Here is a 12,843-nt window from a genome sequence, read left to right as displayed (position 1 = left end):
CATTTCAGGTATGGCTAGCCTCCCACTGGAGAATTTTTACCATCCTCCTTCAATGTAGTTCTTATTTTCCTGGGAAAACCAAGCCTTTTCATTTGGAGTGTAGCTTGGGATCTCCGGGAGGGGAATCTCCAGGAGGAGAAGCATAGCTAAGGCTTCTTCTTTAGAAGGTGGAGTTGTCATTGCAGCCTGCTTTGCCTCTTTGTCTGCCTTTCTATTTTCTTTAGCCTTTAGTGTTCTTGCTTTTTGGTGCCCCTTGCAGTGCATCACTGCCACCTCTTTTGGGGCCCATACAGCATTTAAGAGCTGTAGAATTTCTTCCTTGTTACTTTATTTCTTTACTTCCAGCGGTTAAAAGTCTTTTTTTCTTTATAAATAGCCTCATGAACATGCAAAGTGGCAGAAGCATATTTGGAATCTGTGTAAATATTTGTCTTTTGGCCTTTTGCTAGCCAGAGAGCTCTTGTCAGAGCTATTAGCTCTGCTTTCTAAGCAGAAGTTTCTGTAGGCAAAGACTGCACCTCTGCTACTGAGTCCAAAGTCACCACTGCATACCCAGCACGACGGACTCCCTTTAGTATGAAACTGCTTCCATCAGTAAAATATTCAATGTCCGGGTCTCCAAGGGGCCGATGTGTCAAATCTCTCCGGCTTGAGAACACTCTATCTACCACATCCACACAGCAATGAAGGGGGCCTCCTGGGACTGACTTGATGAGGAGCTAAGGTTTAGGGTATTCACAGTTTTTAAAGTCAGTGTATTAGCTGCCCATGCCAGTAGGGCAGTGGCAGCTAGTGCTTTAAAACAAGGAGGCCATCCAAGTGCCATAGAATCTAATTGCCTGGATAAGTATGTCACTGGGCGATGCCATGACTTTATGGCTTGAGTTAGAACCTCTATGGCCTCCCTTTCATTTGTGGACATACAAGAAGAAAAGCTTAGTTAGTTAGATCTGGCGGTCCTAAAGCTGGGGCCTGAGTCAAGGCTTCTTTGATTTCTTTAAAAGCCTTCTCCTGGTTGGCCTCCTAGAGGAGGGGCTCCTTCTTTCCTCTTCTTTGTGACTTCATGTAATGGCTTAGCCATGAGCAAGAAATTTGGGATCTAAATGCAGCAGAACCTTGCTGCCCTTAGGAACTCTCTTATTTGACACCAGGTGGTTGGAGTAGGAAGTGCACAAACAGCCTGCTTTTGTTCACTACTAAGCCATCTTTTCTCTTGGCTTATATAAAAGCTTAAATGCTGGACACTTTTAGAGCAGATTTGAGCTTTTTTTTTCTTGACACTTTATACCCTGCCTTCCACAGCAGGTGCAGGGGGTCTTGGGTTTCTCCTGGGTGCAGTAGCCCTTGACCAGTGTTTTTTTTCATACCATGGCCTTGACCATTCTCCTTATTCTTTTGACATTTATCCTTCCAATGTCCTTTCCTTTTGCACCATGCACATTAATCTGTCTCTGGCCTTGGCTGGTTTTTAAACTCCTGTCCAGACCAGCCTTTTCCAAGACTGCATTCACGCCCATGTCCATGCCTCCTTGCAAAGCCAGCTTCTCTTCCCGTAAGGGCTGCTGCTAGTAAATTAACCTTTCTTATGCTTCCAATCAGCCTCCTTCTTTGCCTCCTGATCTCGGTTAATGTACATCTTGGTAGCCACTTTCACTTTGTTAGTGGGGACACGAAGTTCATCCAAATTGAAAAGCCACTCCTGCCGCCCTCAGCCTCTCTGAGTTGGATTAGTGGTCATTCCCCGGGAGGTGATCAAGCTCCCCTTTGTCCTTATGGGACAGGCTTCCCTGCCTTGGGCCCTTGCTCCTTACCGTGGTTCCTGAAGAGCTGGTATTGTCCTGCAGCCCCACCCCCAGTTCCGTTCCGCTACCAGGCAGGGTGCTGGGATGCAGGGAGAGCTGGTTTCCATCCAGGTGAAACTCCCCCGTGGTGCACCTTGGATGCCAGGTCTCCCCTGGCCCTGAGGCTCTAGTCCCGCAGACAAAGGAGACAGTAAATCTGTTGTCTCCATTCATGGGCGAGCTCCCAGAAATGTAGCAGGATTTTAAGGAATCAGAGAGACCGATGGGGTTCAGGAGGATATTTATTAATTATTTAGGTGCACCAGCCCAGTCAGATTAACATCCAAAGGACTGAGCCCCATCAAAGGGTTAAGTTACCTTTTAAGCATTTTGTGGGTAGAGGGAGATATATAATTCACATACCATCTTGAACCTCCACCTCCCAGGTTCAAGCAACTCTCCTGCCTCAGCCTCCCTAGTAGCTGGGATTATAGGCACACACCACCATGCCTGACTAATTTTTGTATTTTTAGTAGAGACGAGGTTTCACCATGTTGGCCAGGCTGGTCTCTAACTCCTGACCTCAGGTGATCTTCCTGTCTTGGCCTCCCAAAGTAGAAGCAATTGTTTTTTGTATGTTGATCTGGTATCCTGCAACCTGCTGAACTCACTTATTAGCTCTAATAGTTTTATAGTGGATTTCTTAGAATTTTCTGCATATAAGATCACATCATCTACAAAAAGATAATTTTGCTTCTTCCTTTTCAATCTCTATCCCTTTTATTTCTTTTTCTTGCTGATTTTTGTCCTGATGAGAACTTCCAATACAATATGAATACAAATGGAAGAGCAGACATCCTAGTCTTGTTCCTGATCCTGGGGAGAAAGCAGTCCATCTTGCACCATTAAGTATTGTATTAGTTCATTCTCATGCTGCTAATAAGGACATACCAGAGACCGGGTAATTTATAAAGGAAAGAAATCTAATGGACTCACAGTTCCACATGGCTGGGGAGGCCTCACAATCATGGCAGGAGGCAAGGAGGAGCAAAGGCACGTCTTACATGGCAGCAGGCAAGACAGCGTATGCAGGGGAACTGTCCTTTATAAAACCATCAGATCTTGCGAGACTTATTCACTATCATGAGAACAACATGGGAAAACCCACTGCCATGATTAAATTACCTCCCACCGGGTCCCTCCCAAGACACATGGGGATTATGGGAGCTACAATTCAAGATGAGATTTGGGTGGGGACACAGCCAAACCATATCATTCTGCCCCAGCCCCTCCCAAATCTCATGTCCTTCCATTTCAAAGCCAATCATGCCTTTTCAACAGTCCCCTAAAGTCTTAACTCATTCCATCATTAATGCAAAAGTCCAAGTCCAAAGTCTCATCTGAAACAAGGCAACTCCCTTCTTACCTATGGGCCTGTAAAATCAGAAGCAAGTTAGTTACTTCCTAGATACAATGGGGTTACAGGCATTGGGTAAATACAGCTGCTCCAAATGGGAGAAATCGGCCAAAACAAAGGGGCTACAGGCTCCATGCAAGTCCAAAACCCAATAGGGCAGTCAGTAAACCTTAAAGTTCCAAAATGATCTCCTTTAACTCCATGTCTCACATCCAGGTCATGGTGATGCAAGAGATGGGCTCCTACAGCCTTGGGAAGCTCCGCCCCTGTGGCTTTGCAGGGTATAGCCCGCTCCCAGCTGGTTTAACGGGCTGACACTGTCTGCAGTTTTTTCAGGTACACAGTGCAAGCTGTTGGTGGATCTACCATTCTAGGGTCTGGAGGACAGTGGCCCTCTTCTCACAGCTCCACTAGGCAATACAGCAGTGGAGACTTTGTGTAGGGGCTCCAACCCCACCTTCCCTTCTGCACTACAGAGATTCTCCATGAGGGCCTCACCACTGCAGCAAACTTCTGCCTGGACATCCCAGCGTTTCCATACATCTTCTGAAATCTAGGCAGAGGTTCCCAAACCTCAATTCTTGACTTCTGTGCACCTGCAGTCTCAACACAACATGGAACCTGCCAAGGATTGGGGCTTGCACTCTCTGAAGCCACAGCCCCAGCTATACCTTGGCCCCTTTTAGCCATGGCTGGAGTGGCTGGGACACAGGGCACCAAGTCCTTAAGCTGTACACTGCAGGGGGGCCCTGGACCTGGCCCAGGAAACCATTTTTCCCTCCTAGGCCTCCAGGCCTGTAATGGCAGGGGCTGACACAAAGGTCTCTGATATCCCCTGAAGACATTTTCCACATTATCTTAGTGAAGAATATTCAGCTTCTTGTTACTTAGCAAATTTCTGCAGCAGGCTTGGAGTTCTTCCCAGAAAATGTTTTTTTTTTCTTTTCTATTAAATCATCAGTCGGCAAATTTTCCAAATTTTTATTCTCTGCTTCCTCTTGAACACTTTGCTGCTCGGAAATTTCTTCCACCAGATACCCTAAATTATCTCTCTCAAGTTCAATGTTCCATAGATCTCTAGGCCAGGAGCAAAATGCCACCAGTCTCTTTGCTAAAGTATAACAAGAGTCACCTTTGCTCCAGTCCCCAAGAACTTCCTTATTTCCATCTGAGACCACCTCAATCTGGGCTTTATTGTCCATATCACTATCAGCATTTTGATCTAAGCCATTCAACAAGTCTCCAGGAAGTTCCAAACTTTCCCACATCTTCCTGTCTTCTTCTGAGCCCTCCAAACTGTTCCAACCTCTGCCTGTTACCCAGTTCCAAAGTCGCTTCCACATTTTCAGGTATCTTTACAGCAGTGCTCCACTACCTGGTACCAATTTACTGTATTAGTCTGTTCTCATGCTGCTAATAAGGATATACCTGAGACTGGGTAATTTATAAAGGAAAGAGGTTTCACAGACTCAGTTCCACATGGCTAGGGAGGCCTCACAATCATGGTGGAAGGTGAAAAAGGAGCAAAGGCACATCTTACATGACAGCAGGCAAGAGAGTGTGTGCGGGGAACTGCCCTTTATAAAACCATCAGATCTCATGAGACTTATTCACTATCACAAGAACAGCATGGGAAAAACCTAACCTCATGATTCAAAGTACCTCCCACTGGGTCCCTCCCATGACACGTGGGGATTGTGGGAGCTACAGTTCAAGATGAGATTTGGGTGGGGACACAGCCAAATCATATCAACTGTGATGTTACCAACATTCTTGAACAAGTCGTTTTATGGACCAAAGTTTTCATTTCTCTTGGATCAATACCTAGGTGTAGAATTATTGGATCATAAAATAGGTACATGTTCAACTTTACACAGAGTTGTCTAACAGTTTTTCAAAGTGGCATTTGTACCTAGACATCAATCAGACTTCTGTTGTTATATATTGCCTATCACATTTCAATTAGTTTTGGAAAACAGGAAGATCCCCAAACTGTGAACTTTTTACTGCACCTTAATTGGAAGTCTTTCTAGTAATAGAATGAACAGATCTGTAACCCTCAAGAAGTTCTTAAGGACTCAGATTAGAAATAACTCTTGTATTTACAACTCAAATCCATTCCCTCATATATTTACCCTTTGTCCACTGCACGAACTCCCTCAAATTCTTCCCTGGTCATTCCATGAAGAGGAGCCCAACTAGACCACACAATGCTCCATGTGAACCATCGTTCACTTTATTTGTGTGTGACATTTTTCTTGTGACATCAAAACAATTAGGAGGAAGCTCCCTAACCAAGGTAACCATGGAGAGGTGGTTGTACAGTCTAGTCTTGGTGCAGATCTTTTTCCTGCCTGCTCGCCTCCAATGATAGTCTGTTTATATCAAGCATGATCAAAAGAATTCAAACATTCTGCAGGCTCCAGCATGCTATCTTGTACCTATCTCATACCATAAACTCAGTTATTCATCCTCAGGACTGACGTCAGCATCTTCTTCAAAGCACTGCACATCTCTGTGGGCAGGTGTTACATCAGGATGACATCCGCATGCTCAAGTCACCTGGGAGCCCTATGTTCTAGAGTATCTCTGTGTGGTTTATTTTAGTCAGTTCTCCATCATCATAAAGTTCTCCTTTTTTTCCTAAAATGGAAATATTGCTATTGCTTTGGCAGATTATGAAAGTAATGCATGTTTGCTTAAAGAAATAAAGAAGCCTAGAACATACAAAGCATAATTTTTTCCTCTATAAAATGGCTAACAGTTTGGGGTTTATACTTACAGGTTTTCAAAATGCACTTAAGATATTATGGACATTTGTGAATGGTATAGGTATATAGCTGAAAGTTATTCTTTTTAATGGCACCATATTTCATAGTATATGTTAATTTACTTATTATTAAGCATTTCAACCATATAGAAAAGTACCAAGAATAATGTAACAAACATCCATGTGCCACTTGGTAATTTGAAAAAAGTTCAATTGCATTTAACTGCAACCAGATGACCCTGTTTATCATTTGTCTTTTGACTTTTTCTTTGGGGATGTTTTTGTCATGCATATTTTTAATTCACATAGTTGAATTTATTAATCTTTTCCTTCATGGCTTCTGAATTTTGAGTTATTTTTAGAAAGGCTTTGCCTGCTGCACAAATTGTGAAGAAATTGTCCCATGTTTCCTTTTAGAACTTCTATTTTTCCAATTTTTACATTTAAATATTTTTTTTCTGTTTGGAATTTAACTATGTGTAGTGTGACATATGAATCAAGCTTAATTTTTTTTCCAGATGCCAATACATTTGGCCCACTTCTGAATAAATAGTTTATTGTATTCCTCCTTTGATTTAAGTTGCCATCTTTAATATGCACTAAATTCTCACTTGTATTTTGATCTCATACTAAACTAGATTTCCCATTCTGTTTCACTTGACTTTCTGCAACATTGCTGTATATTTTAATTAGCTAATTAATTTAACATACATATTAATTTATAATATGCGTATCCTCATTGCTCTTCTTTTTCAGAGTGGTCCTGGCTATTTTTTGTTGTTGTTCATTCTTATGTAAGCTTTTAAATCGGTGTATGTAATTTATAAAAGGCTATTAATATGTCTTGAAGAATAACATTGTATTTAATAATTTAACTGAAAAGAACTGGTGTTTTTTATGCCATTGAGCTTGCTTGTATAAGGCCTTTTCTGGCCTAGTGCTGGAATAGTGTTTTAGACTAAGTTGTTCCCATATATTTTCTATCTATTTCATACTATGTATAGATAATATATATTTTAATTATTATTTATTTCTATTCTCTTTCATAATGTGGGTCTGTTATCCCACATCTCCTGATTGTTATTTGTAAATATAAATGTAATTGAGTTTGATGTATTAACATCTTCCCTTATTAACTTGCATAATTATCTTATTGTTAATAATAGTTTTTCAGGTAATTCTCTTGGGTGTTCCAATTATTCAACAGTATTATTGGAACTAGAAATATTTTCCCTTCCCCTTTCCAATTTTTTAAATAAACTTGTATTTTAGAACAGTTTTAGATTTCCAAAAAACTGGTGAAGATGGCACAGAAAGTTCCCATTTACTGCACATCACATTTCCCCTGTTATTAACACCATACATTAGAAAGCTACATTTGCTATACTTACTGAACCAATACTGATACATTATTATTAACTAACGTCCATTCTTTTTGGACATGTTTCCTTAATGTTTAGCTAATGTCCTTTTTCTGATCCAGAACTAATGACATGTAGTTGTCTCCTTAGGCTCCCCTTGGCTGTGACAGCTTCTCAGACTCTCTTTTTTTTTTAATATGTAGTCTCACTCTGTCGCCCAGGCTGAAGTGCAATGACGTGACCTCAGCTCATTGCAACCTCCGCCTCCTGGGTTTAATCGATTCTCCTACCTTGGCCTCCTAAGTAGCTGGGACTACCAGCACGCACCACCATGCCCAGCTAATTTTTGTATTTTTAGTAGACGGGGTTTCGCCATGTTGGCCAGGCTGGTCTCAAACCCCTGACCTCCAGTGATCCGCCTGCCTTGGCCTCCCAAAGTACCGGGATTACAGGCATGAGCCACTGCCAATTTCTATACCTCTACTTTATTCCCCTTATCTTGTGGAGCTGGTACCTCCAGGGCAATGTTATATAGAAGTGGTGATCACAGGCGTTCCTTCCTATTTTTAGCTAGCTGGAATGCCTCTGGAGTGGCCCATGATGCCTTTTCAGCTGAGATAGACATATTTTATCATGATAATGAAATCTTTTCTGTATTTTCCTATATTTCTCTAGTATTCCTCTCCAGATTACAGTCAATGGTGTCATTTTTCTCAGTATTTGTCTTTGCATTGTTTAATGTGCTTATGTTTGTGTTTCTGCCTAGGACGAAGGCGATGGCAGCAGTTTTCCAGGCTAGCTGTCTTCACAACCCGATGGCTCTCTTCTTTTCTGCTGCCACAGAGACTGACTGTCTGCCTCCTGCAAATTTGAAATTTGGCAAACCTGCCTCCTCTGCTTCTCAGAACCAAACTGGGGCCAGGAGAACTTCTGACCCAAGTGTTGATCACCTCTCTTCCTGCACCTCACTGTGCACCCTCTGCTCAGGAAATGCCTTTGGCGTGTTGCTGACGTCTGTCCCTGCTCCATCTCTTACCACCCTGCACTTCACCCTTTCCCACACAGGTTTCACCTGATCTCAGCTGCTTTGGGCAGACCATCCAGGTATTTTGGAGTCTGAAAAGGATCTCTGTCTCTAAGTCTGGTGCAAATGGAGTTTGGGGGTTTTAAAATTCATTCTTCTTGCTGCTGTTTCACAATTTCTCAGAAAAGGTGAAAATGCAGACTTTGGCAGTTATGTTCAATATGAAAAGTCTTAATAAAGTAATTTTTGACCTAAAGCCCACCAGTATTTCTGGAACAATTCAGTCAATCTTTGAACTTGGTCACATAAAGTCTTATTAGAAACACAACGGGGATTTTGGAGACAGGACTAGTGAACTTTGTGTAGTTAAATAGAAACTTGAATTGCCAGTGTAGAGTACTTGATTAAGAGATAAGGAAATCCACTCATTCAGTAAAAAATAATTGAGTTTTGTGCTAGCAATTTTACTAGGCAGTTAGGTGGTGGGTATTTTTGGTGGAGTGAGTCTAATTCATGATTAAAATATTGTTTCTCCTGAACCTCAATTTCTTGGAGTAATAAAATCAACCTTATCTACTTTAAGAAGAGGGTAAAATGAGTGTCAATATATAAAAGCACTTGGATTTCTGATTTTATGAAAGGGGAATTTGGAGCTATTGTAAGCTTTCAAGCGGTAAAGTATTATGACCACAAAAAGTGGGTGGAGTTTATGTCTGGTTCATTTGAGTCAAGAAAGGCTGGAGATGGAGTGGACAATCTCTGACTGGATGTAGGGTACAGGATATAGAATGACAGGTGGTTGTGGCATGACCAAGGGTAGAGATGGGCTGTAACGATAACAGGAATAAGGTGTATAGGGAAAGATGCCTCAGGGCTTGAGACACGCAAATTATGGGGCCAAAGTGAGACTGACTAAAGGAAAATAGAGGAGCCAACTGTTAAGTGAGGTTGATGGTTGGAAGGCAATTAATGAAGCACATCCCTGATGCAAAGATTATGTCTCCTCATTTTCCCGCTCCTAGGTCAGTTTCCATTTACGTTAGGTGTTCTCTTGTCCCCAGTTTGATCAGAAAGTCCTTGTTTTAGATTGGGATTCTGGAAGCTTGCTCTGAGGCTCTGAGATTAGCATGCAGGAGATTTAGTAGGGAGTCCTCTTGGAAACCACACCTGTAAGGGCATAAACAAAGCAGACTGGGGCCGGGTGTGGTGGCTCACGCCTGTAATCCCAGCACTTTGGGAGGCCAAGGTGGGCAGACCACCTGAGGTCAGAAGTTTGAGACCAGCCTGGCCAACATGGTGAAACCCCATCTCTACTAAAAAATCCAAAAAATTAGCCAGGCTTAGTGGCGGGCACCTGTAATCCCAGCTACTCAGGAGGCTGATACAGGAGAATCGCTTGAACCCAGGAGGCAGAGGTTGCAGTGAGCCAAGATCACACCACTGCACTCCAGCCTGGGCAACAAGAGCAAAACTCTATCTCAAAAAAAAGAAAGAAAGAACGCAGATTGGACAGTGGGAAAAGTTGAACTGCAACACAGTTGCAACAGAGGCCTCCACTAATCTTATGGGAGCTCTGGAGTAGCAATGGCCCTTCAGAGTTATCCCAAATCTAGGCAAGGGGCAAGTGCTTGTATCTCCTCATTATCCAGTCACTGAATATGAGCTGCCCCCAGGGAGGACGATTCCTGAAGGGAGACCAGCTGAGAGCTATCAGGGCCAACATTCCTGACGACTAGTAGAGTGAGTGCTTCAGTCCTGAACTGGTGGGTGTGTGGACAGCGCCCCTTAACCCCCTGACAGTCTCAAGCCCAGAGCAGGATGGCAGCTGACTCAGTCCATAACTCAAGGCTGCTGCCTCTTAGGTCTGTACTTTTCTTTGGTCTCACCTTTCCCTACTTTGCTCCACTGCCCCACTCCCATGCACTTTAACTACAAGAAAACCCTACTACTACCCCCTGACCACACAGTGCTCTCTTAACACCACTGTGCCTTTTCAGATGCTATTTCATCAGGCTGGGGAGTCCTTTCTCCCTTCCCTTCATCAAAATCATGCCTCTCCTACAAGGTCTACTTCAAAAGCTAATCATATTATGAGAATTTAAAATTTAATCAATTTCTCCTTCCTCTGGAGTCCCAAAGAATCTTTCTTGTGGCTCTATTATCATACTTGTCTTGCTTGCAGTCTAGTTAATCCTGCGTTTGTGTTTCCTTTATCAGATTGTGAATTCCATGAGTGGCAGAACTTACTTCTTTAACTCTTTATTATTTCCATAAACTAGCATTCTGCTTGGCACAAAATAGGCAACTATTTCAATAGAAATCGTTCCAAATTGTTAGGAGAGTTCCTTGCAAATAATCTCCCTAAAGGTCTAAAGACCCTTTGGCTTCACCCTGTATTATTCCTTCTCATGAGAAGCAGATGAAATTAATTTACTTATTCAATAGAATTTGAGAAACTACTGTGGGACAGATATTGCCTGGACTAGTTCCTATTACTCGTTATTGTTGTTGAGGTAAAATTCACATAATATAAAATGAACCATTTTAAAATGTACAATTAAATAGCATTTAGTATATTCACAATATTGTGCAACCCACCCTTCCAACTCGTTCCAAAACATTTACATCACCCCAAAAGCAAACCCACTTCTATTGTTCCTGAGCAAATTACACCTAGGCTAGGTATGTTGCAACAAGAAAGACATGAGTCTAATGTCTGAAAATTTACAGTTAAACCAATCTTTGTTTAGAAATCATGCTGGCTTGTTGGGTGCAGTGGCTCACACCTATAATCCCAGTACTTTGGGAGGCCGAGGCAGGCGGATCACCTGAAGTCAGGAGTTCGAGACCAGCCTGGCCAACATGGTGAAAGCCTGTCTCTACTAAAAATACAAAAATTAGCCAGGTGTGGTGGTGCATGCCTGTAATCCCAGCTACTCGGGAGGCTGAGGCAGGAAAATCGCTTGAACCTTAAAGGCGGAGGTTGCAGTGAGCCGAGATCACACCATGGCACTCCAGCCAGGGCGACAGAGCAAGACTCCATCTCAATAAATAAATAAATAAATAAATAAATAAATAAATAAATATTTAAAAAAGTAGAAATCATGCTGGCTTTCTTTCTATGGTTCTTTTGCTTAATGGGAAGAAACTTTCTTTTGGGTATTCTAAGAGGGTTTTGTTTGGATGTCACCAGAGGTTCTACATTCCTGTCCTGAGGGAATATTCTCTCCAACTTTGGAATAAGGGGAGCTCTGACTGACTTTGAGGAAATGAAAGACCCATCCTGAGGCAGAGATATGGAAGTAACTTGGATTGCACCTCACCATTGCTTGGTACAGCCTGTGATGGAAATGAAGGGGCAGTAAAGCCCCTTTGACCAGCCATTGTCTTTTGGTGCCCTAAAGTTTCTATCTCACTATGATTAAATGAATAAAATAAACAGCTCTACCAGGAAAAGAGAGGCAGCCGCTGATTGGGCATATCCAAAACTTTCCTTTATCTATGACCCAGGAACATAGGTGCTTTGTATTCATCATCTTTTTTTTTTTTTCAATCCCTCTGAAGCATGTTTTACAGAAGAGAAAACTGAGGCTAAGAGAGAAAAGTAGCATGCTCAAACTAACAAAGGAATGCAGAGCTAGGATTTGGCAGATCATAGCCCACCTCACAGAAGTTGTCTAAGCAAAGACTGCCTAGGAATTGGCCCATCCCTAACTTCTTTTTTTTTTCTTTCTTTTTTTTTTTTTTTTTTTTGAGACAGAGTCTCACTCACTCCGCACCCAGGCTGAAGTGCAGTGGCATGATCTCAGCTCACTGCAACCTCCGCCTCCCAGGTTAAAGCGATTGTCATGCCTCGGCCTCCAAAGTATCTGGGATTGCAGGCACACTGGCTAATTTTCGTACTTTTAGTACAGATGGGGTTTCACTATGTTGGCCAGGCAGGTCTCGAACTCCTGACCTCAAGTGACCGGCCCACCTTGGCCTCCCAAAGTGCTGGGATTGCAGGCATGAGCCACCACGCCCACCCCGTAACTTATTCGCTCTCGTCTCCAAGTCCCCTATGGCAAGACAGCAACACACAACCCGAAGTGGAGATGGCAACAGTGAACGCTTTGATTCCTCCCCTTGGGCGAGTTCACATGTACAGCATGTGGTGAAGCAATGGCACAGCAGCAGCTCTGATTCTCATCCACTGGTCAGGAGATCTAACACAAACAAGATCAGGAAAAAACGCTCCCTGGGGCTATACACAAGTTTATTTTATTTTATTTTATTTTCTATAAAGACAGCATCAACTTTCCCTCTTTAAAACCACTTTACTGAAAATGAATTTTCTGCAAATGTATTCTTTATAAATGTAGAGCATGCAAGAATGTATAAACATAACAGAAGCATTTGTAACTGGTTAACTCAGTTGACAGCTTGCAAGATAAGTTTTTGTTTTGGGAGGAATTGGAAGTCTCCCAGATTTTGCTGGAGTCTTTGCTTAA

General features: G+C 42.4%; 1 protein-coding gene across 1 annotated transcript in view; it reads left to right on the top strand.

Moving 5' to 3' along the window:
* The window catches only part of GLB1 (galactosidase beta 1), a 136,039-nt gene extending 127,430 nt beyond the window's left edge, over positions 1-8,609 (top strand). Inside the window, exon 16 of the mRNA NM_001393580.1 lies at positions 8,096-8,609. Coding sequence (NP_001380509.1) covers positions 8,096-8,128 — 33 coding nt within the window. The 3' untranslated portion in view covers positions 8,129-8,609. The remainder of the gene's footprint in view (positions 1-8,095) is intronic.

Source organism: Homo sapiens, chromosome 3 (genome assembly GCF_000001405.40).
Source record: "Homo sapiens chromosome 3, GRCh38.p14 Primary Assembly".
Classification (NCBI taxonomy): domain Eukaryota; kingdom Metazoa; phylum Chordata; class Mammalia; order Primates; family Hominidae; genus Homo; species Homo sapiens.
The sequence above is the reverse complement of the archived record's forward strand: the minus strand, read 5'-3'. Positions and strand labels throughout refer to the sequence as shown.